General features: G+C 37.1%; 1 protein-coding gene across 4 annotated transcripts in view, besides 3 other annotated features; it reads right to left on the bottom strand.

Annotated features, from left to right (window-relative positions):
• Positions 1-4,988: 4,988 nt before the first annotated feature.
• Positions 4,989-24,531, bottom strand: part of ZNF638 (zinc finger protein 638) — a 103,280-nt gene continuing 83,737 nt past the window's right edge. For 3 of the 4 annotated variants that reach the window (NM_014497.5, NM_001252612.2, NM_001014972.3), the window contains exons 21-28: positions 21,411-21,448; positions 16,012-17,236; positions 15,335-15,400; positions 12,636-13,590; positions 11,399-11,503; positions 8,622-8,723; positions 6,767-6,885; positions 4,989-5,308 (exon numbers count right to left, since the gene is read on the bottom strand). In NM_014497.5, coding sequence (NP_055312.2) covers positions 5,243-5,308; positions 6,767-6,885; positions 8,622-8,723; positions 11,399-11,503; positions 12,636-13,590; positions 15,335-15,400; positions 16,012-17,236; positions 21,411-21,448 — 2,676 coding nt within the window. In that variant the 3' untranslated portion in view covers positions 4,989-5,242. The remainder of the gene's footprint in view (positions 5,309-6,766; positions 6,886-8,621; positions 8,724-11,398; positions 11,504-12,635; positions 13,591-15,334; positions 15,401-16,011; positions 17,237-21,410; positions 21,449-24,531) is intronic. The other variant, NM_001252613.2, reaches the window with a different exon arrangement.
• Positions 15,837-16,131: a silencer, noted in NCBI's record as "tiled region #6666; HepG2 Repressive non-DNase unmatched - State 15:Elon, and K562 Repressive non-DNase unmatched - State 17:Gen3'". NCBI's record gives its function as "represses a minimal TATA promoter and a strong SV40 promoter by Sharpr-MPRA in HepG2 and K562 cells {active_cell/tissue: HepG2 | K562}" and the evidence as "EXISTENCE:reporter gene assay evidence [ECO:0000049][PMID:27701403]".
• Positions 22,808-23,437: an enhancer, noted in NCBI's record as "NANOG-H3K27ac-H3K4me1 hESC enhancer chr2:71643743-71644372 (GRCh37/hg19 assembly coordinates)". NCBI's record gives its function as "activates a minimal SCP1, AML or CMV promoter by ChIP-STARR-seq in primed H9 embryonic stem cells {active_cell/tissue: H9 hESC(primed)}" and the evidence as "EXISTENCE:reporter gene assay evidence [ECO:0000049][PMID:30033119]".
• Positions 23,156-23,205: a silencer, noted in NCBI's record as "silent region_11624". NCBI's record gives its function as "represses an Ori minimal core promoter by ATAC-STARR-seq in GM12878 lymphoblastoid cells {active_cell/tissue: GM12878}" and the evidence as "EXISTENCE:reporter gene assay evidence [ECO:0000049][PMID:35858748]".

Raw genomic sequence — 24,531 nt, 5'->3', positions numbered from 1 at the left:
ACCTAGGAATTAACCAAAAAAGCGAAAGATCTCTGCACTGTAAAACACTGATGCAAGAAACTGAAGAGGACACACAAAATAAAAAGATATTCCATGTTCATGGATTAGAAAAATCAGTATTGTTAAAGTGTTCATATATTGTTACAGTGTTCATGCTACCCAAAGCAATCTGCAGATCCAATGCAATCCCTATCAAAATACCAGCAACATTCTTCACAGAAATAGAAAAAACAATCTTAAAATTTATACAGAACCACAACAAAAGATCCAGATAGGCAAAGCTCTCCTAAGCAAAAAGAACTAAACCAGAGGAATCACATTACCTGACTTCAAGTTATACTACAGAGCTATGGTAACAAAAATGGCATGGTACTGGCATAAAAACAGACACAGAGACCAGTGAACAGAATAGAGAGCACAGAAATAAATCCAATAAATCTATAGTAAATTCATTTTCGCAAAGGTTCCAATAACATACCTTCAGGAAAGGACAGTCTCTTCAATAAATGGTGCTGAGGAAACTGAGTATCCATTTGCAGAAGAATAAAACTAGGCCCCCAACTTTCCCCATATAAAAAATTAAATCAAAATAGATTGAGGCCAGGAGTTCGAGACAAGCCTGGCCAACATGTCAAAATCCCATCTCTACAAAAAAAATACAAAAATTAGCTGAACATGGTGGCATGCGTCTGTAGTCCCAGCTGCTCCAGAGGCTGAGGTGGGAGGACCACCTAAGCCCAGGGAGGTTTGAGGCTATTGTGAGCTGAGATAGTGTCACTGCACTCCAGCCTGGGTGACAGAATGAGACCTTACTTAAAAAAAACTTTTTTAATTGTACATTTAAAAATAATTAGAAGAGCATAACTGGACTGTTTGAACCACAAAGGACAAATGCTTGAGGTGATGGATACCCAGTTTACCCTGATGTGAGCATGCCTGTATCAAAGTACCACATGTAACCCACAAATATATATACCTAGTATGTACACACACACACACACACACACACACACACAAACACACACAAAATTCCTTTGAGACTTCCCCTATGTGAATGTATATTCTTAATGAGGTATTCCCTCAGGACAAAACAAAACTGAAAAAAAAATTTTTTAACTGTTTTCAATAATCACATTGTTGGTTAAGGTCTTGGCATTGTTACTGTGACTGTGATGCATATAAGATGAGATAAAAGCTAAGCAATTATGCGACAGTTTACGTCTATCATCTTGATGTCCTGGAGAATTGTAATACCTGACACAAGACAAAGAAGATCTATATTTAAGATAGAAGAGGTTATGAATTTGAACGAGAAGAATCAGTATAGTGATGATGAATTTTCTCTTAAAAACAAAACATACATGCATTGACAGGCCAAAGTGGGTGGATCACTTGAGGCCAGGGGTTCGAGACCAGCCTGGGCAACATGGTGAAACCCTGTCTCTACTATAAATACAATTAGCCAGGTGTGGTAGCACATGCCTGTAGTCCCAGCTACTTGGGAGACTGAGGCACGAGAATCACTTGAACTCAGGAGGCTGAGGCTACAGTGAGCCAGGATTGCACCACTGCACTCCAGCCTGGGTGACAGAGAACCCTGGTCTAGAAAACAAAACATACACTTCAATTTCCATCTATGGGAAAGCAATAACCAGTCCAGAAGCAATGAACACACCTAATCAGCCACTGTTCTTTAGAGAAGTAGCTGACCCCAGGTCTGGAGAAGTGAGCCTGAAACATCTTGACATACAGATAACTACTAGTAGAAATGAGGAAATCAAATCAAATGTGGGACATATAAGGATCAATAACACTAATACTGCAGAGGTTTCAAACATCAAATATGTTAAAATTTACAAGTTCATACTAATGCTTAAGAAAAAATTTATCACAGTGGATGCCAAAGAATCAACTCATTCTGAAAAAAATAGGTAAGTAAAGGAAAAGCATCCCATATCTGTGTCTTTCTTACACAAACCGTACCGCTAGTAGCCAAATAGCAGATGAGGGGGAGTTTCTCCTTGCAGAGAAATATTCCTGCTTACACATGAAAAAGGGATATAGAATTAAGATATCATTATTTTGCAACCCCTAATGAACAAGTGGATCAAAACTAAGCATCAGCTGCTACTCAAATCCCAAAGAAGGCAATCAGTTTGCGCCTCCTATCGGGAAGACCACATCACTGCCTAAAGTAGTCTCATCAAAAAAAAGAAAGAAAAAAACAAACTCTAATCAAGTGTCTATATTTACTTACCAATTTATGAGCTACAGAGAGAGCAAGGGACACGTTAAAGGTACTACATGGTTGCAAGCAACAAAGTCAGACCTGGGGAAACCTGTCAGCAGTGCTTCTCAAACTATGTGCTTGATCAGTTTTCTTTTTCTCCCTAATTTTCAATTAACTATAGACCAATAATTCTGTAAAATACAAAAAAAAAATTTTTTTTAAAAACCCCACAAAAACATACAAACTCCAATTTTTTTATTGTTAGATTCAATAAATGAACATAAAATCACTGTCAAAATGTTTCTAGAAACTCTCAATTTCTGTACTTCAGTAATCATAAACTAATACTAAAGTTTCTGAACTGGCACTGCCCTGGGTCCCAAGACATTTTGAGCAGCACTGCTTGGCACAGCCAAGAATCTAGTTTCTTTACCAAATAAATTACAAGGACGGAAGTAGGGAGGGAAGAACCTATATATTCAAAATAGTATAATTTAAAGGACCTACCAGCCAGTCACAATATATGGATCTTATTTGAATCTGGATTCAGACTTAGTAAACCAACAACCACAAAAAAACGATTTATGAAACAGTTGAAAATCTGAACCAAACTATTATTTAAATAAGAGATTTTTTAATGGTACTGGATATTTTTAATATAAGGGTTAAAAAGAACTCATATTTTAGAAATACACAATGAACAATTAACGGGTAAAACATACTGATATTTAAAGTAATACAAGAGAGTTGGGAGTAGAGATACACACAGACAAACACAACTGGCCTTAAGTTGATAATTATTGAAACTAATTAATGTATGAGGGTAATTATCCTATTGTCTTAATATGCTTGACATTTTCCACAATCAAATAACAAATCAGTAAAATTAAAAATTTAAGTTTTAAAAACCTGACTCCCCTATAAATGTTTTTTAAAGAAGGATTAAAAAGGAGTAATTTTGGAGAGGCAAGTTTCCACAGCATCCTAATGCCAGAAAGGGTAATAAAATCTAAAAACTTTTATAGAGATCATGTTGAATGTAAACTTTTTTTGCCTTGGAGTCTAGATGCTGAGTTTGAGACCAGCCTGACCAACAAGGAGAAAACCTGTCTCTATTAAAAAAAAAAAAATACAAAATTAGCCGGGCGTGGTGGCACATGTCCGTAGGCCCAGCTACTCGGGAGGCTGAGGCAGGAGAATCGCCTGAACCCAGGAGATGGAGGTTGCGGTGGGCCAAGATCGTGCCACTGCACTCCAGCCTGGGCAACAAGAGCAAAGTCTCAAAAAAAAAAAAAAAAAAAAAAAATTAAGTCAGCTGCAATCCTAATTATATCCCTCAATCAACTAATAAGCAGAAACTACTATGTATATGACGTTCCATTTGTGTGGTGTGACTAAAGGAGGAAGATTTTCTGAAAATGCCAAGAACAATACTAAAATTATATGCAAAGAGCATGTTTATTTTCTGAAAACCTCATACAAATCTTTTGTATTTGAAGCCCTATGATAAAAATTACCAGCATTAAGTGCAAAAAGTCCCAGAGAAAAACATTATTTATAATGTACAATTAATGGTCAACATTGGTCACTAGGATAAAACACAAAAATCACCCCTACCATTTTTATGCTTTAGCAGCTCCTCCTCTCATTCTAATTTAGAATCCCAATTTCAAAAGACTGATCCAGACAAGATTAAAGAAGCTTATAACTTCCCTAGTTGCAAAAGTTCCAAAAGCAAGCTGAGGAGAAAGGAAGATTCTTTAAAACTAAGATTCTTATTCACTATCACTGTGCTTCTGTAATTTACAGGCACCTTATTCCCCAATCTTTTAACAGCTCTTCTCCCTCTTATTATCCGGATTCATCTGTAAGGTTTTAATTCCAACAAACTCTTGACAGCAAGCCGCTCCTCTCTCTACCCCACCCCTTGTCTGTGACGTGTAGCATTCTGTAATTTTACTCAGGCTGTGGGTAAGTCTCGACTAAGTATGCAGTGAGTTTCATAGGAGGTGACAAAGAGGTGCTGCCTTTTTTTTTCTCCAAGCCCTTCTTACTGACTGTGATGTCTCTTGTGCTGTGATGGAAATAAGACATCTAAAAAAAGTAGGGTTTTTGTTGTTGTTGTTGTTGTTCCCCTCCATTCATCCTCTTTGTATTATTAATTGGTGCACTCTATCTTGAGGCATCAAATACTAAAACAATTATAAGTATTCAGACTATGTCTGAAGAATGGCTCAATCTAAAAACTTAAAAGTATAGGGCTATTTCCATCACCTGCTAGCCATTCAATTATTTTTTGTGCCCTTAAAACTTCTTATAAACATATTCAACTATAATTCAAATGGTTTAAAAAGCTACTCTGGTGGTCCACAGAAGTAATGGCTGCTCTGTAGATTCAAGCTAATAATAAATGACTAGCTTGGTGTTACCTTAAATGGGTTCTGGCAGAAACAGCAAGTGTTACCAGAAGCAGAAAAAATACCTTTCCAACACATATAAAAATCAAGCAAAGTTTCATTCAAACCTATTTGGGGAAAATATGCTGTAATCTAATTTTATCCAGAAAAAATTTGAATTTTAAGAAATCTATGACCTGTATACACATGAATGGTTGAAGCAAAGTAAAACACTGTCATGCTATGACTTCCAGTGATACATGAAGAATCCCCAAACATCCCAAATCACAGGAGTTGTAGTGAAAAACCTTGTCTGCAATCAGAGGCAAGCAAGTCTTTAAAAAATCAGCCACAAACACAGATGGTATTTTAAATATACAGTAGGAACATTTATTTTAACACTTCTAAAAGATATTTCTCCATGCCTGATGATTTGATATAAAAATCAAACCCATCATACTTTCCCCATCAGTCTCTCTACATTTAGGGCAATCAGAAATTTGTACAACACGAATATTTGCTTCTGAAACGAAAATTACAAATTAAATGATAACAAAAATACACAAATCAACTGGACCCTAAACAAATTTCTAGTGAATTCTTTCCTTTCCCCCAATCACCTAGAGCTTCTTTCTTCAGCCTCATTCTGCTCCTTTTCCTTTCTTTGCTTGGCCATGAATTTCTGTTAAAAGCAATTTGCAATATAAAATACTTATTAGACGTTATTTTGCTATGTGTGCAAACTTATCTACTGTATATTTATAATTTAAAAGAAACTGATCCTACAAAATATTATAAACACAGTGCCTTATATAACCATTTCTTCCTTTCATTCATCAGTCATTTGATGTTTATGACACACCAGGTATTACACTTGGTGCCTGAGGATTCGGTGGGCAACAAGACAGATAGAATCTTTTATACAATAAAGCTTACATTCTAATGGGAGAAGAGAAACAATAAAAGAAAAAAATAAAATACTTTGGGGGCGGTGGTAAGCACTTTAAAGACAGTGCAACAACGTAATTGAGGCTGAACTTTTTTGGGGGTTCTACTTAGCTAGGTCTTTCTTAAGCAGACCTTTCTGGGGAACTGATATTTGAGACGAAAAACATGAAGAACTGGCCATGCGAGTAGGACTGGGAAGGGGCAAAAGAACAGCAGTATAAAGGTGCAAAGGCAGCAATGGGTCTCTCATGTATGAAAAACAGAACAGAGAGAGCCAGAAAAGCTGAAACACAGAAAGCATTCAGAGAAGTAGAAAAGAAATCAGATCATGCAGGGCTTTGAAGACCCAAAATAAGAAGTTTGGATATTAGACCAAGTGCAATATGAAGCTACTAGAAGGTTTTAAATGGAAAAGTGACATGATGAACTAAGTTAAGCACACAGGTAGCAAAGCACAATGTATAAGAGCTTGGGCCTAGAATGAAATAGAGCGGAGTTCAAATCCTAGGTCTGCTACTAACTAGCTATGTGACCTTGGGTTTAGATACGTAACCTCCTTAAGTCTATTTTCTCATCTTTAAGATTGGAATAATAGCATCTACCTCATGAAGTTCATGAGGAGATTAAATAAGCTTCCAGCATAGAACAGCTCAGTAAATGTTAGATGAGTGTCTGTGCCACAAATTCAACAGAGAGGATGTACGAAACTCTCAAATATTCAGCAGGAACTAGAGTCACCACTTCAATTATGGTTAATGATGATTCTCCAGAGTAACACTTCTTAAAGATGTGTACAATTTAGAAAAGGTTTTGTGATTAAATCAGTTTAATAAATGGTTTGCATGAAGTTAACCAGGATTCATTCTGGCTAGACAATTCAGAAACTTTAATATGCTAATGTCTACATGACAAGAGGGCATCAAAACATGCAGTTTCTTACTTTAATAATGGAGTGTCATATGAGACTAGTGATCTGCAGAATCTACTCTGGCAAATGTTGCTGTTCAAGGAAAAGGAATAAGGACTAGAAATTACAGGCAAGGTACACTGAAGGAGAAAACAGGACTTAAGAGGAATAAACTGGCATAAACATTCTCCTAAAGCGGGGGGAAATGTACGTTTGGGGAGATAAATAATTTGATTCTAAGACAATAACAACACCTCAAGATTTTGTAAGAATTTTTAAAATTACCTCAGTATTTTGCTTATGACGTGTACTCTTGCAGTGATTTGTCATTGCTTTTTCACCTGAGTAGAAGAGGGAACAAATTGGACAGAAGAATCCAGCCTTAGGTACAAGAAAGTCTAATTCTAGAGGATAAGAAGAGACAAGAAGAAAATTAACAATAATTAATCTCCAGTTGTGTTCATCGATTTATTCATTTATTTGAGACGGAGTCTCACTCTGTCATCCAGGTTGGAGGGCAGTGGCGCGATGTCAGCTCACTGCAACCTCTGCCTCCTGGGTTCATGTGATTCTCCTGCCTCAGGCTCCCGAATAGCTAGGATTACAGGTGTGCGCCACCGCGCCTGGCTACTTTTGTACTTTTAGTAGAGATGGGTTTTATCATGTTGCCCAGGCTGGTCTCGAACTCCTGACCTCCCCTATAGGATGTGCCTGCCTTGGTCTCCCAAAGTGCTGGGATTACACGTGTGAGCCACAACTGGCCTTCATCAATTTAAACACGACAAAAATATTAAGCACAGTATATACTTAAATATAAGAACAGTACACACTGCTATAAATTTAGGGATCAATAGTAGTAATTTTAATCAGAAAACGTAAGTCTTTATTTCGTTAACACATTCTATACTATTCCAGAACCTCTAGGGAATGCCAGTATGCCACTGCTTTGGTATAATGCCAAGTTGAATAGATTCCCAAGGAGAATCTTCGGATAACAAAGAACTGTTCAATAATCCTTCAGAATACCAAGTCATTAGATAAGAACCTAACAGTCTAAAATATACCTCTGGCTGGGAGAAGTGGCTCAAGCCTATAATCCCAGCACTTTGGGAGGCCAAGGCGGACAGACTGCTTGAGCTCAGGGGTTTGAGACCAGCCTAAGCAACAAGGTGAAACCCTGTATCTACCAAAAATACAAAAACTAGCCAGGTGTGGTGGTAGACGCCTGTAGTCCCAGCTACTCATGAGGCTGAGGTGAGAGGATTGCTTGAGCCTGGGAGGAAAGGGTTGCAGTTAGCTGAGATCACATCACTGCACTCCAGCCTGGCTGACAGAATGAGACCCTGTCTCAAAATAAAATATAATAAAAATAAACCTCTTAGGAATCCCATTAAAATAAAAGAGAGAGAAGAGGTAGAATGATGGGCAACTGTCTGATTGAGGAGTATGATGGCTGAATAAGGTCTCCCTCAGCTCACCTTAGCTGACCATGAACAAAGTCGGCTAGCAAAGATTTGCAGCATGTTCTGCTTAACTGGAGTGACTTTCTGCCTGGGCAAATATAACTCAATTCTCACCAGAGTGGCAAAGAAAGCACCAGGAATAAAAGAGGAGATACATCCCAGATTTCAAGAGTGCAGTAAAAATATCCTTCTCAGGTAAAAACAGCCCAGTAAGCTGTCTTCAAAAATGCCACTGTGTAAAACATGCAAATTTCCACTATAAAATGACAATGCAGCCAAGGTTACCCAATTACTCACCTAAAACAATAGAATACTTATTATGGTGTTTTTGTTTTTTTTTTTTTTTGAGACGGAGTCTCACTCTGTCGCCCAGGCTGGAGTGCAGTGGCGCTATCTCGGCTCACTGCAAGCTCCGCCTCCCGGGTTCACGCCATTCTCCTGCCTCAGCCTCCCGAGTAGCTTGGACTACAGGCGCCCGCCACCACGTCCGGCTAATTTTTTGTACCTTTTAGTACTGACGGGGTTTCACCGTGTTAGCCAGGATGGTCTCAATCTCCTGACCTAGTGATCCACCCGCCTCGGCCTCCCGAAGTGCTGGGATTACAGGCTTGAGCCACCGCGCCCGGCCGACTTTTAAATTTCATATGGGTAAGAAAAAAATGTCATTTTAACTTTACCCTCAGGGACATCAGACGCCACTGATTTGCCTGAAGAAGAGTCTTCAGTCTTCTTGCGTTTTCGCTCTGGTTCTGAATCCTTTAATCCAGATTCCTCATCAACTAAAATTTTTCGAGGAAAAAAAGCTATTCAGAATAGATTTACAGACTTTGTAAAGTTAACATTGGATAATTCTTACCTTTTTCTTTCTCAGGGAAAACCTCCCTTTGTTAATCCCATCTGGCCATTCTTTGCACAATATTCTCCAAGATTCTTTAATGTAAGGAATAAATGGGTAAATCCATTCAAATGGATTTAGGAATATAGGTCTAAAGCTAACAGCAAATTTTATTTATATATGTTCCAGGCAGAATTTAACGAAGTAATACAAGTCCTATCATTACTGGCAAGAGAACTTATATATGCAAAGTGCTAAGCTGAGCCGAGAGTGGAGATTAAGGGAAAAGGATACCAGCAGAAATTGATTCTATGGCCCAATACTGAGGCCCTTCCAATCTAGAAAATGGAGCCTAAACTGATAGCCTAAGACCCCTGTTAGAAACACAAGTAAAATTATTAATATAAATGTTAAAGCCCACCAAAGTGAGTAACACGTAAGAAGCACTCAATGTTAGCAGACTCTGCATACTATGATCTTGGGGACAGACAAAAATGAAGACTGATTCCAAGCAATTCTGATTACCCTCAGTAGCTGAAATGCCTTACTGTTGCCTAATACTTGACAAAACCCTTTTACATATATAATCATTCATTTAGCTTTTACCTCATGTAAGATAGGCACGTGAAATCATTATTAACCCATCCCTATTTCTTCAGAGATGGAGAAAGCACAATCAAAAGAGGTAATAAACAGATATGCCCAAGGTTGCATAGCTAGTGAGTGACACAGGCTAGAACCAAGACTTTGTGACTTCAAGTTCAGTGTTCCCTCCATACATCTGGGCTACTCTTTAGTATTCCTGAGGGGATGGCAAGGAACTCTGAAATCATTACTTACTCTTATTCCTCACACTTTACTGATCATCAAGTCCTACAATCAATAAGAAAAAGGTATCTTCCTTTTCTTAACTTGATGGTTAAAACAATCTGGTTTCCTTGCCTCCAATCTCTTTCTATAATTGTTTATTTCTTCATCAGGGTAATAAACTTTCCCAAACATATCTGTTCCTGCCACTCCAAAGGCACATTTATCTTAATAGTATATAACATATATTAAAATTATATATTTAAAATAGATTAAAATAAATGATTTAAGTTTACAATTGTGTGGAAAAATGACTTTTTCTTAAGCTAGGTCCTTTTGTCAAAACATATTGTTCATTAGTAGAAATATATTGTTACGTAAGCAGTAACTAAATCATCCTTTTATATTACTCAGTTGCAATGAGGCAGTTCTAAGCAAGCTGATTGCCAAGGTTGCCCTACCATACAGAAATTCTGAAGTCGGGGGGTGACCTCATGAAATCATGCGAGAACCTAATTACTGAACCACCACCTATAGCTTGGTTATCAAAGATTGTTTATGGAAAAGAATAGACAAGGAAGAAGGAATACCCACTTGACCATGACTTGGCAAAGAGTTTCAAGAGAGGGCATAATCAAAAGTAACCAATCATGTGGAAAAGTCAAGTAAGACTAACTTAAGAAGAAAACACTTTAAAAAATCACGTTTGACAACAACCTAATGGGGGTTTCATCAACATCATTTTCAGGAAAGTGGTAGGAGAAAGAAACCAAAATACATTCAGTTCCATGGGAAATTAAGACGTAAAAGTAGGTGGTTCTTTCTAGACGTTTTGCTCTAAAAGCAAGTAGAAAAGATAGGAGCTAGAGAGATTTCAAGGTCAAAGGGATATTTCTTTCAATGGGAAAAACTTGGCCAAATTTTATATTTTATGTGTATAAAACAAAATATAAGTTGGCAGACAAGGGAGATCCTAGATTTACTCTGGCAAATAAAAACGAAAGCAAGGACATCCAATGAGAAACGGGTTAGGTGATGTAGAAGGGGGGGAAAGCTAATTTTACATCTGGTTAGGAAATAGTAAAGGAAGGAGACCTCTAATATATTGGGAGCAGCACTGAGAGCCCACCTGAAATCCTTGGACCAAATCATACTTGGTAAGTTTTCCTTAAAGAAGATAGGATAGGAAAGAAAGAGGGCAATGAGGGTGCTACAAAGAGAATGGTAAAAGCGATACCCTTACAGTGCTCTATTTAAATCATACTGGCAAGGTGATTTTTTGCTTAACCTCTCTGAATCAATAAACCCCTTGAGAGCAAGAGCTATGTACTTTCTTTTGTCTACCCTTTTTAACATTGTTATGAAGGATACCCAATACAATATGACAAGTATCTGCTGAGTGACTAAAGTATTCTCTCTCACTAGACCCTTCCTTATTTGTTTCAAGTTAAATTTTATAAACGCTATTAAGGCTTCTTGTTTAATTCATTGGCTGGCTGCTGACAAGCATCAACAAAGCAAGGTCCACAAATAATAGCTAGTTAATAAATAATTTCTATCTGATGCTGCAACATGGTCAGAAAACCTTTCGAGGATCATTTCCTCTAATCTGTCACATTCTAATATCAATAATCCATTCTCTCTACATTACAAAGATCAAAATGTTACCCACATCTAATAACTATAGTTGACTTTTCCCACCCCTGCTCTATTCCACTGATTTTCTACTTTTCTTCTTAGATAGATCTTTAAACTTCAACTACTCTCCTGTGTTGTGTAACTTTCCTTCCCATTCCAACAATCCTGCTTTACCTTCACTCATCTGGAAGGCCTCTTCACCTTTTGCTGGTTCTGTCACAACAGCTTTTTCTGATGGCAGAGTTTTCCCAATTCTAACTCTCTTGGTTGGAGTTTTAGCTTTAAAAAGAAAGTCCTAATTTATTGCTCTAGTAACAGTATTTAAATTGCTTTAAATTAAACATATTATACTGTCTGAATCAACATTATACATTTTTGCAAAAAATACCCAAATTTGGGAGGGAAGCCTACTGCTAATATAAAATAGAAGAATTCTATTTTAAAATAATCAGTTTAATCTAAGCATTTCCTTTTGTTCCCAGTTATCATTTTCCAAGTAACTATGCTTTTCTAACTTCTTTTCCCAGGATGTCCATAAATGTTTTTCTAATTTGTTCCATAAGCCTGTGGGACCTTCCTAGTATTTTATTCTTAGTTGAGTTAAATCTTTCAGGTTTTTTTTCTTCTTTTTGGAGACAAAGTGGCTCACTCTGTTACCAAGGTTGGAGTGCAGTGGCACAACCATTGCTCACCACAACCTCGACCTTCTGGGCTCAAGCGATCCTCTAGCCTCAGTCTCCAAAGCAGCTGGGACCACAGACGCATGCCACCGTGCCTGGCTCATTTTTTAATTTTTTGTAGAGACGGAGTCTTGCTAGGCTGCCCAGACTGGTGTCGCACTCCTGGCCTCAAGCGATCCTCCCACCTCGGCTTCCCAAAGTGCTGAGATTACGGGAGTGAGCCACAATACTTGGCCTCAAGATTTTCTTAATGGAAATTATGTTTATCTCCCTCAAGTTCGGAAAGTGAGCTGCCGTACTATTCTGTATCATTACAATATTACTTTAAAATCAAATAGTTCCTTTATAAATAGTTCTTAATTCTAAGTCTAAGCAAAAACTGGGAGGTAATCTGATGTAAATGTTCTTCTATTTATCAAAAGTTGTCTTTTTCCCACAATACAAATATATCATTTTCATTCCAATTCTAATTTGGCTACTTCAGTTTGTTTTCTGTTTTTTGTCATCCTTTCTTGAAGCATAACCTGGAGCAAGTTCTGCTGTAAAACTTTAAAAAACTGTGAAACTTGTACACATTTCTTTGGAAAATTTATTGTTGACTTTAACTGTCTGTTGGCCTCTAATATCAATACTGGGTGACATTATTGGTAATGCCACAACATGTATTTTAAAATTAATTTTAAATGTAATCCCCTCATAAAACAGAAAGACTACCCCTTCCAAGTATCTACCTGTTAAGTGTCTTTCAATCATGGTTTTTAGATCTTCTTCCATAACATTCTCATTTACTGGACCCACTTGGGACAAGGATTCAAGTTTTGTCTTTTTTGTGTCCACAGCTCTCTTCTTTCTATTCCCTTTTTTATCTGTGGGATGGTCATTTTTGCTTTGTGCTAACTCAACTTTTAAATCATTATCTCCATCTTCCTCCTCTCCAACTTCATCAACAGTAACAAAATTAAGCTCTTCTTTAAGGTTGTTAAAATCCGCCAGAGAGTCTTCATCCTCTTCAGTTACTTCATCCAAAGTCACTAAATGCAAATCACTGCTGTCATCTTGTATTTCATCTACAGTAACTAAAGTAGAAGGGTCTTCGGGCACCTGAGAAGAAATGAAGCCAATGGAATCCCTTACAGTATCTCCTTCATTTCCTTTAGTATTTAAAGTGGCAAAAGTTATGTCTGCTGACTCATTCAAAGGTAGCTCTTCCACTTCTCCAATTTCATCCACAGTTACCAAGCGTTCCTGTTTGAGGAGATCTTGTTCTTCAGCCACTGACAGAACAGTAACATCTTTAGGTTCACTGTGGGAAATGCAATCATCTTGGTCAATTAATTCATCTAATGTAAAAAGTGAATTTGAATTTTTTACCATTTCTTCCATATTTAGTTCTTCTTCATCAATTACTTCATCCACAGTGACTAGAGCTTGTGCTAGATGTGCAGCTGCATCTTCCTCTTCCCCAATCTCATCCAATGTCACAAAAGATAGTTCTCCCTCAACACCACGAGGAGTGGAAGTTTTCCCCTTTTTCTTCTTTAAGTTAAGTTCAGAGAAAGGAACATTTTTGAGAGTTTCTTTCCTTTTTCCCTTTAGTGGATTCTGCTTGGCCTGAGAAGGATTCACTTCTTCTATAACCTCATCCACAGTAACAAATTCATCCAAATTAAATGGAAATAATGGCTCCTGTTGGAAAGTTAAAAATCATAGTATTGTAAACAAATTTTGACCACTGGCTAGATTCCAAATAGTCACAATAAATGTGCATGCAGATCATTTGGGAGAATTTCAGTGCAAATTAGTTTTCCTAAAGGCTAAAATTAAGAGTTGTTTTTTTTAAAGCCCCACAAATGACTTAGCTATAATTCACAAAGTATAATCCAAAAGTAAAATTCTAACAGTATCAACCTAATTCCACTTTTACTTAAATTCAATAAGATTACATTTCCTAAATGAAGAGTTTCGAAGTATGACACATAAAAATACATTTAAAGTATTTGTCAGACAGTACAAAGGATTTACTGTTCCATATGTCAAACATCTAATAAGTGCTCTAGAAGACTTACTGGACTTCTAAAAGCACCTCAAATATAGTTAGAAAGTAAACAGCTAATTAGGCTGTTCCATTTATCAGTATATATTGATTACACATTAACTAATTATATATAGAATACATATTTTAAGAAATACAGGCCGGGCGTGGTGGCTCATGCCTGTAATCCCAGCACTTTGGGAGGCTGATCACCTGAGGTCAGGAGTTCGAGACCAGCCTGGCCAACATGGTGAAACCCCAGCTCTACTAAAAATACAAAAATTAGCTGGGTGTGGTGGCAGATGCCACCCAGCTACTCGGGAGGCTGAGGCAGGAGAAACACTTGAACCTGGGAGGCAGAGGTTGCAGTGAGCCGAGATCACGCCATTGCACTCCAGCCTGGGGGACAGGAGTGAGATTTCGTTGCAAAATAATAATAATAATAAAAGAAATATAATGGTTACATTTTGAGAAAGTTGTATGAAAAAATTATTACTAAGACTCAATGACTAACATAACTGTATTTGAAAACAACAGTATCTGTAATTTTTAAAAATGCCGTCAATAGTAAAGAAGATAAATTCCTACCAGGGCTCCTATACATTTAGTATGTTATTAATGATTAACTGCTATTATATATAATAACGACATTAGAATATGTACCCTGTAATTTCTAGGGAGAATATCTACAAGCGATTGTACTATCAAATTAACAAAGCAAACTGAAGTAGCCACAATCCTTACTTCTGCTTTAGTAGCCATAATCCTTATTTCTGCTTTAGTAGCCATAATCCTTATTTCTGCTTAAAACTAGTAACATTTCTCCTTGCCCCAACAACATAGGCCCAAATCTATCCCCTACCAGGTAAGAAAAGTAAAATGACTGAAAAAAATTCTATGAATGGTAAAAACCTAAAATAACAACCAAATATAAAATATGTTTGACAACAGAACTTGGTACCAGTAAAGTTAATCTTAGAGACCATCCACTTAAGGTTAAATTAGAGCCAAAAGGATAACCTGTTTTAACAAAATGAGGATGACTCAAGTCAAATGTCAGTCTCTTTCACATATATAAATTTTTTTTCTGTGTCTACAACCTATTCCTGTCAATATGAGATTGGAGGTATTGCCCTACTCTACTCTCTTTCTGTCCCCATATAACATTTTGCCCGCTCCCCCCGCCTCAAGAAAACACAAGGTGTTTAGACTAGCTCAAGGTCAAAAAGTAAATTAATGGTAGGATTAGAGATAAGTTAAAAACAAAACATCTCATTCCTATCCCTTGCTCTAAACTCTTAGTCACTAACATTGTTAAGGCAGGCACAAGTTATAAGATAGATGAACTGTGCTATGGAGATGAAAAAGAAGGGTTAGGGTCTGTGATCTATTTTTTACCTCTTTAGATTTGGAACTTCTACCAGTAGTGCTTTTAGGATTCTTAGTGTTTTGCTCAGCCAAAGTCTGAAATAGTAAATAAGAAATACAGAAAAACGGAATTTACAACCATATTATTAATGTTCTGGAAAAAAAAACAAAAAACAAAAAAAAACAGTAAACATTACCCAAATACAGTCAATTATGCAAATTATTTAACATGTATACAAAACTAAGTCAACAGTCACTAAACAGTATAGGCACAGTCTGTACAAGTTGTAGTTAAATTCAGTTTTACTGATCTTTTCGTCCCACAATGTCTAGTTAGGCAATCAGTGACCTGATAAAGGAAGCTTCAATTTAAGAGAGGAAACAGTTTCCCATTCAGAAGCAGAGTGGTAAATCACCTTAGGAGATTCACTGCAGACTTTTTTTTTTTTTTTTTAAACCACAGTTATTTCCAAATTGTATCCAAATAATGCTTTTCAAACATGTCAATAAATTATGAACTTGAGTTTAATACTCTGAATGTCTACTGGCTTAAACAATGGAATCATTTAAGAAAAGGAAATGGGAGCTTCCGGGGTAGAGTGAGGAGATGAAAGTATGAAACAAAATTACATCTCCTACTACATAGCTACAGCAGCGGAGCTAATCACTTCAAAGACACACTGTGCCATTCTTCCTACCCTCCTCACCTTATTGTTGCTGTCATCCCGTTTCATGATGGAAGGTCTAGCCTCTGTTTCCTGAGATTGTTTTGTTATATCTCTGTAATCCAGTTTAGAAAGCTTGCCTTGCAGGGCTGAGATCCTTCCACTGCCTCCTCTGGTAAGACTGCTCTGAGTAGGTTTGAATTTACTGCTGCTTTCTGCCAAGCCTGACCTGGCACTTGTGGGTTTAAGCAGACCAAATTCCTTGGCTGAAAGTTTCTTTTCAGCATTTATTTGATCTCTGGGCACAGATTTTGGAAAACTTTTCTGATTTTCAGTTTTTGAAACTGTAGCTTTTGCCTTAGGAGAAGAGACTATAACAGCCTTGATGCTTGGTTTACTGCTAGATACATCTGATACAGCCAGAATACTAGTTTTACTAGTTTCATCAGGCTTATTAGCCTGACCCACTCCTTTATTTGGGTATGCCTTGAATAAAGTGTTTTCTGCAGGCTTTTCTTTCATTGCTGCCATCTTTTCCACCTTTTCTGCATCCATCCTACCTTCATTCTTTTCAGCCTTCTCTGTTCCTATTTGAAGATCCATTCTGGTTTCCTTAGTATTAAATTCCTTCTCCTCCTTTTCATCCATGTTACCTTTTTTTTCAGAAATATTCTTTTTGTCCACTGTCTTCTCATCCCCAGTGGGAATTCCTGGTACTAACGTCACAATACAAGTTGATGGCAATATTTCCGAAACAGTTTCATTTTTTTCTACTTCAGCTACAGCTTCTACCATAGTCTGTGTAATTCCAGAAATGAAATCTTCTGCTTCAGATGGAGATTCTTCTAGAATTCCTTTGAGGTTCCTTTCTTCTGCAAACACACTGTCAGATGGTAACAATGCTGTTTTAGGGTTAATAATTTCTGCCCCTTTCTTCTCCAAGTCACTGTTAAACATCTGCTGATTTAAAGCACACTCCTCGGCATTTTCAGTGAATTGTTCAATACTGACTGAAGCGGATGCTACAAGAGGAATTTCTTCTTTGACCTCCTCTCCTTGAGTTTCAAGCTCCAAAGTTTCAACAGCAAAGTCAGAATCACATGTTGCTTTTTCAGCTTCTTCCTCACAAGGCTCTTCCTGCTGTACCAAAGTTTCTGTTTGAATGCTGGGAGTACTTTCTTCTTCAAGCTCATTAGGTTTAACAGAGGGACTATCAGTTGCTGTTTGCACCTCACTTTCATCAATTGGACTGTTTTTCAAGCCAGGGCTAAAAGTATTTAAAAACAAACAAAAAGAACACAAACAAAAACACAAACAAAAATCAAACTATGATGAGAATTCAACCATTATAAAGAATCCTGCTGATGCCAATTGTTAAGACTTCCTGATGCATTCGTAATAAGCACTGGGAAATCCAACCAATCAGCATAAAATGGGTAAGATGTATTGCTGGAAATACGTAAATAATATAAATTATGACTGTTGATATGTTCCTTTTGCGCTCATGTGATTACAGCCAATATTTTCCCTCCTCTGTCAAGTTAACCCCTGACATTGAAAGGTCAAATGTGAATCTGAGACACTTCAAATATTATCAGGTCCTATTCCCAACAGTGGTAACTGAAATAATAAAATATGTGTACAGTTCTACAATAAAACTAATGATCCATGCATTATGATTTAAAATTTTATAAGTGAACCTTACCTAAAAAGAACATAAACAGAAACTGGTGGGGGGAAAAGACCATACTCTAAATCATATCACCTTTTTATTTTTTTTTTGGATGTAAAATATTTTTTTAATTACCCAAGAACCATATTTATTAATGATAATACTTAGAACATTATTTGGAAAGTATTCTTTATATACTCTATTGAGGATTTAAAGCTAGTGACAAAACCTGATATAATCACCTTATGTGAACATACAGTCTTATAAATATTTGCCTTTGGCTATAAGAAGAAATGCATTAAAAAATAAACCTTCCCAATTCAAGAGAATAATGTATAATTCTAATATTTAACTTAAATGTGTAAGTAATATTCAGAAGAAATGGAGGAAATACATGGCTAAGTATATGTAATTCATCTTATTTCATCATGGTCTTCCCAAATCTAAAGTATATGAAAAGTGAGTAGTCCTATAATTCCAGTACTTTCACCGAGGTAGACACAGAATAAGTTATTTTTATATCAATATTCCACAAATCAGAGGTTTTCTTGAAGAACAAGGAAAACCTTAGCTTCCAAAAACAATGCCCAACATGCTATCAATGCAAATTAAAATTTACCAAATATATTCATATAATGAGAAGCAGCAGATTGGAGAAAGACACCAGAGAGTGATCCTATCATATCAATACCTGATTATTAAAAAGTACTGACTTTCTTCTCCTATTTTTTAAGGAAGGAGAGGATGAGCCATCCCTTTTGACCTGCTTCTTAGAGGGTGGCCATGTACCCTTCAGTTAACAACACAAGATGGTGTATATCTGTGTGCTGAGATGTTAACCATATTTAAGAAAGTTGTGCTACCACATCAGGGTCTTAAATCATTTGAACCAAACTGGTCTTCCCTCATGCCCCAAAGATTACATCCTGAGGAGAAAACTTTTCTACCAGATTAGAGAAATACCTCTTGACCCTAAACCTTAATCAATATATATTCTATCCATTGTGCAAGTTATTCTTTGCATGCTAAAATGTTTTTTTTTTAAAATAATCACACCCCTTTTTTTCAAAATATAAATGGCTAATTTTAAGAGTTTCAAATCTTTACAATTCACAATAAAATTTGTGGCAAAGCACAACCAGAAAAGAGCAGTGACATTCACAGTTACAGCAGGTATATGAATATTACTTCTCAAAACAAGCTTTTGTCTTTAAATTACAAGACTCATTTCCAATAATGAAGAAAATATTCAAATTCCTGCCTCATTACTGTACTGCATATTAACCCTACATAAAACTTTAGAAACTTAGGGCTAAGTAAAAACATCTATGGGGCTAGGATAACAATGGAGACCTTGATTCCTGGCTCAAGGATATAGCAAGACTTTCCCCTTCACAAGTTTTTCAATAAAAAAGTTATTATCTTATATACAAACTGAACCATTATGCAGTTCCATACTTGAAACAGAGAACACAGGTCTACTCAGAAGAATTATTTAATTCCATATTTGTCCTTGTGTGCTAGTCTTTTCAAATCATAGTGTTTTCTTTAGAGAAGTCATTTACCAAAACTAGTATCTGCTTTCTGGCTAATATGGGAAAAAAGCCTCAATATTGATCAAGTTAGTTTGAAAAGACAGTTTGAAATGTCAAATAAATGACATTAACACCAAAGTTAAACAACCACTCTTTGTAACGATCAAATGAAAACAGCCACATTCTGGGAAATGGAACAGAAAAGGATTCCAGAAAGGCATTTGAGATACAGATATCTCATTTGCCACTCCTCCCTCCAGCCCCAATATCCCAGTAATACCAGAATTTCACAGCCTTCAGAAAAAGCATACAATAAAAGCTGGGCATTAGAACAAACGTTAACACTGAAAGACAAACATTCTGAGAAACCTTAAACTGGGACTTCACAATACTAAAGATTAGTGTTTATTTCAGAGGCCAACTGTTTACTTCCTAATGTTAATGAATTAGAAAAATTTCACTTAGCATTCTTATTTGTGGCTTTAATCAGATGATAAATAAAATCTGTTTACATATCAACAGAATGAGTACAGTGTGAATTATTAAATTATGAATGTATCCACGAGTTTCCTCTAAACAGTATTTAAATAGTTTAGTTATAAACAAAAGTATCATATTCATAATGAATTGGCAACCACAAGTGCTTTAAAACAAAACAAAACAAGTGCATGTAGTACCAGCTACACAGGAAGCTGAGGTGGGAAAACAGCTTGTGCCCAGGAGTTCAAGGCCAGCCTGAGCAACATAGCAAGACCCTGTCTCTAAAAAAAAACACAACAAAAACAACAAATAGTATTTTCTCAGCATCAGTTCACTCCAAAACAAATGTTTAGTATTCTGGACATATCCCACATCTTTTTCTCTAATGTTAAAAAAAAAAAAAAAAAAAAAAAAAAAAAGGCGGGGGGGGGTGGGAATTAAGAAGTTTTTGGTGCTAATTTTAAAAATTAGTTTTATGAGGTTGAATACATCTATAAATTATTTAAGAAATATATTCAATTTTAAAAGCTATGTCTAAACAATGAGAGGAGAACAATGACCAACTGCTATTGCTATGGAGAACAACTTTTCATGCAGACCTCAAAAAATCTTTGTAAAATGAAATAAAATGGGTTTTGCCACAGAGTTAACGTGGCCAATCTTTAGGTCTATATATATAGTACTACATAGGCACTGTTATTTATTAAGCCCTTTGTGAGCTTTCACATCACACACTGCTGGTGGTACTATTTCTTAGGTATGTGAATGCACCTGGTATGACATACAACTTAAATAACCCTGTGCTGACACACAGAGCAAACCTATTGCTTAATGTTACTGGTATATTTTAATGTACTCATCATCTTTGTCAACTAAAATAATCTGATTTTATAAAAATTACTGAGAAGAAAAATCCGCTAAGACGTTCTGTTTTTCAGGGATCTTAACATCAGTGCATCAGATAAAATAAACACTTTACATATTTAAACACTTTCAAACTGCTGTTTCAAACAAATATACGCTCTTACAACAAGGACTAATAAATATTGATGACTCAGTATACAGGAGGAAAAAGAAATATTCTAAATCAGTGATTTACAATGAAGAGCAGTGAAAGGCAAGTCATCAACTGGTGGAACAAGGGTGGTGATAAGGAGGATATCCATCAGAATGAGAAAGTTATTAAGGAGAGGGTGTACTTTACGTGGTCAAAACAAGGCTGTAAGTCACCAGTTTGTGGAGACTTTGAAAAACAAGCTTTCATTCCTCTGATAATGCAAAACTATATACATAATTTTTTTGGACAAATACTTACTCGCCCCAACCCAGTTGTTTTTAAAAAGTATCAAAACACACAATGAAATTAAGTAACGTTAAAAGGTTAAAATTTTACTACCGTGTTTATTTTGGAATAGGAAAATCTAACAAAAACAATGTAATTACTGTTCGTGATGTTGAGTTATTCGAGAGTCTTAAAACATTTTATAAAGTGGTTTATTTAATTCAAACTGTTTATATACGCAGTTACTCTAAATATTCAGTAAATACTTAAATGAGAGTAAATAAAAAGCAACAAACGAAACTCCTAGGTCAGGCTGAGTCCAAAAAGAAAACTGTAACAAGCCCATATGTACACAAAATAAATATGCAGAAAAGAACTTTTCACTACATGTGAGCCATTACTATAAAATACAGCAATAAAATTCAGAAACTAAATACTATACAAAAGTGTTAGTAAACATAAAGCAACATACCTTTCTTTTTCTAATTCTGGGTCATGCTCAATTTGCACCTGTAATATAATCAGCATTTTATTAGAGGCTATTCCACTGGATTTGAAATATTTAACTATAAAAGCAATGTTTTTAGTAAAAATTTAAGCTCAAAAAAAAAAACCTTAAAAATGTATCAAAGCAGCTAGTTTTCAGTGTCTACATTACTATCAGGTTCTAGAATTTTTTTCTAATTAAAGACCTCCAAATTAGGTCACACACAATAACTTATATTAATGAAAAAATAAGTTTCCTTAATAATGATATAAATAAGAAACTTTATTAACTTTAGAAGCCTGGAAATTCTATCTTTTCCCTAAACAATAAATGTGAAATATCAACATCTTCCTTGAGGAATTATTTTAAAAGACTTCTAAGAGAGATCAGCTGACTAAAAAAGTTTCCTATTCAAAATACCTAGAAATGCTAAATAAAATTGAACAATAATCCTTTTAAATATTTGTCTGATATCTGATAAATATTTTAAATATTTATCTGATATGTGGGTCCCAAGAAAGCAATACTCTGTAGCCCCAAAAAAGGGCAGGAATTAAAAATCAGTCCCTATATGGCAAGCACTGTCCTGGGTACTTGGGATGCATCAGTGAACAAAATGGCAAAACATATCTGCCATTCAGAGCTTATACATACTAGAAGGAAGCCTTTTCTGAGAAATCATGCACTCTCTGGGTAGAAGTCTTCTAGAAAGATTTTGTCAGACTAAAAACTGAAAACAATACTTTAAGGAAATTCAATGTGTCTAGAGAGGATTCCTGGCATAGGTGTTTGAGTCCAACAGTAAAGACTTCCTTTACTGGGATATCTGGTGATAAGTCTAGCTTATATCCTAATGATACTGCCCAAAACTAAAGATGATGGTTTTTAAGTCCCAATTACAGAGAGTGTTTACTAGCAGCTTTCCATTAAGGAGAAAAGTTTATTAGAGAGAAAAAAAAAAAAACCCTGCATGGTATCAGAGGAACTCTACATCAGATACCTATATTGGCCAACTTACTTCCTTATTCATAAAGGAATAACGGAAAAACAAATGCACAAAAGTAAACAAAGTAAGCTAAAGAAAAGATATTTCAGACAACTGAAGTGCCTTTTAAAAAACTCAGGGAGGAGCCAAGATGGCCGAATAGGAACAGCTCCGGTCTACAGCTCCCAGCGTGAGCGACGCAGAAGACGGGTGATTTCTGCATTTCCATCTGAGGTACCGGGTTCATCTCACTAGGGAGTGCCAGACAGTGGGCGCAGGTCAGTGTGTGCGCGCACCGTGCGCGAGCCGAAGCAGGGCGAGGCATTGCCTCACCTGGGAAGCGCAAGGGGTCAGGGAGTTCCCTTTCCGAGTCAAAGAAAGGGGTGACGGACGCACCTGGAAAATCGGGTCACTCCCACCCGAATATTGCGCTTTTCAGACCAGCTTAAGAAACGGCACACCACGAGACTATATCCCACACCTGGCTCAGAGGGTCCTATGCCCACGGAATCTCGCTGATTGCTAGCACAGCACTCTGAGATCAAACTGCAAGGCGGCAACGAGGCTGGGGGAGGGGCGCCCGCCATTGCCCAGGCTTGCTTAGGTAAACAAAGCAGCCGGGAAGCTCGAACTGGGTGGAGCCCACCACAACTCAAGGAGGCCTGCCTGCCTCTGTAGGCTCCACCTCTGGGGGCAGGGCACAGACAAACAAAAAGACACAGTAACCTCTGCAGACTTAAGTGTCCCTGTCTGACAGCTTTGAAGAGAGCAGTGGTTCTCCCAGCACGCAGCTGGAGATCTGAGAACGGGCAGACTGCCTCCTCAAGTGGGTCCCTGACCCCTGACCCCCGAGCAGCCTAACTGGGAGGCACCCCCCAGCAGGGGCACACTGACACCTCACACGGCAGGGTATTCCAACAGACCTGCAGCTGAGGGTCCTGTCTGTTAGAAGGAAAACTAACAAGCAGAAAGGACATCTACACCGAAAACCCATCTGTACATCACCATCATCAAAGACCAAAAGTAGATAAAACCACAAAGATGGGGAAAAAACAGAACAGAAAAACTGGAAACTCTAAAACGCAGAGCGCCTCTCCTCCTCCAAAGGAACGCAGTTCCTCACCAGCAACGGAACAAAGCTGGATGGAGAATGATTTTGACGAGCTGAGAGAAGAAGGCTTCAGACGATCAAATTACTCTGAGCTACGGGAGGACATTCAAACCAAAGGCAAAGAAGTTGAAAACTTTGAAAAAAATTTAGAAGAATGTATAACTAGAATAACCAATACAGAGAAGTGCTTAAAGGAGCTGATGGAGCTGAAAACCAAGGCTCGAGAACTACGTGAAGAATGCAGAAGCCTCAGGAGCCGATGCGATCAACTGGAAGAAAGGGTATCAGCGATGGAAGATGAAATGAATGAAATGAAGCAAGAAGGGAAGTTTAGAGAAAAAAGAATAAAAAGAAATGAGCAAAGCCTCCAAGAAATATGGGACTATGTGAAAAGACCAAATCTACGTCTGATTGGTGTACCTGAAAGTGATGTGGAGAATGGAACCAAGTTGGAAAACACTCTGCAGGATATTATCCAGGAGAACTTCCCCAATCTAGCAAGGCAGGCCAACGTTCAGATTCAGGAAATACAGAGAACGCCACAAAGATACTCCTCGAGAAGAGCAACTCCAAGACACATAATTGTCAGATTCACCAAAGTTGAAATGAAGGAAAAAATGTTAAGGGCAGCCAGAGAGAAAGGTCGGGTTACCCTCAAAGGAAAGCCCATCAGACTAACAGCGGATCTCTCGGCAGAAACCCTACAAGCCAGAAGAGAGTGGGGGCCAATATTCAACATTCTTAAAGAAAAGAATTTTCAACCCAGAATTTCATATCCAGCCAAACTAAGCTTCATAAGTGAAGGAGAAATAAAATACTTTATAGACAAGCAAATGCTGAGAGATTTTGTCACCACCAGGCCTGCCCTAAAAGAGCTCCTGAAGGAAGCGCTAAACATGGAAAGGAACAACCGGTACCAGCCGCTGCAAAATCATGCCAAAATGTAAAGACCATCGAGACTAGGAAGAAACTGCATCAACTAATGAGCAAAATCACCAGCTAACATCATA

Source organism: Homo sapiens, chromosome 2, assembly GCF_000001405.40.
Source record: "Homo sapiens chromosome 2, GRCh38.p14 Primary Assembly".
NCBI classification, from domain to species: Eukaryota; Metazoa; Chordata; class Mammalia; order Primates; family Hominidae; genus Homo; species Homo sapiens.
The sequence above is the reverse complement of the archived record's forward strand: the minus strand, read 5'-3'. Positions and strand labels throughout refer to the sequence as shown.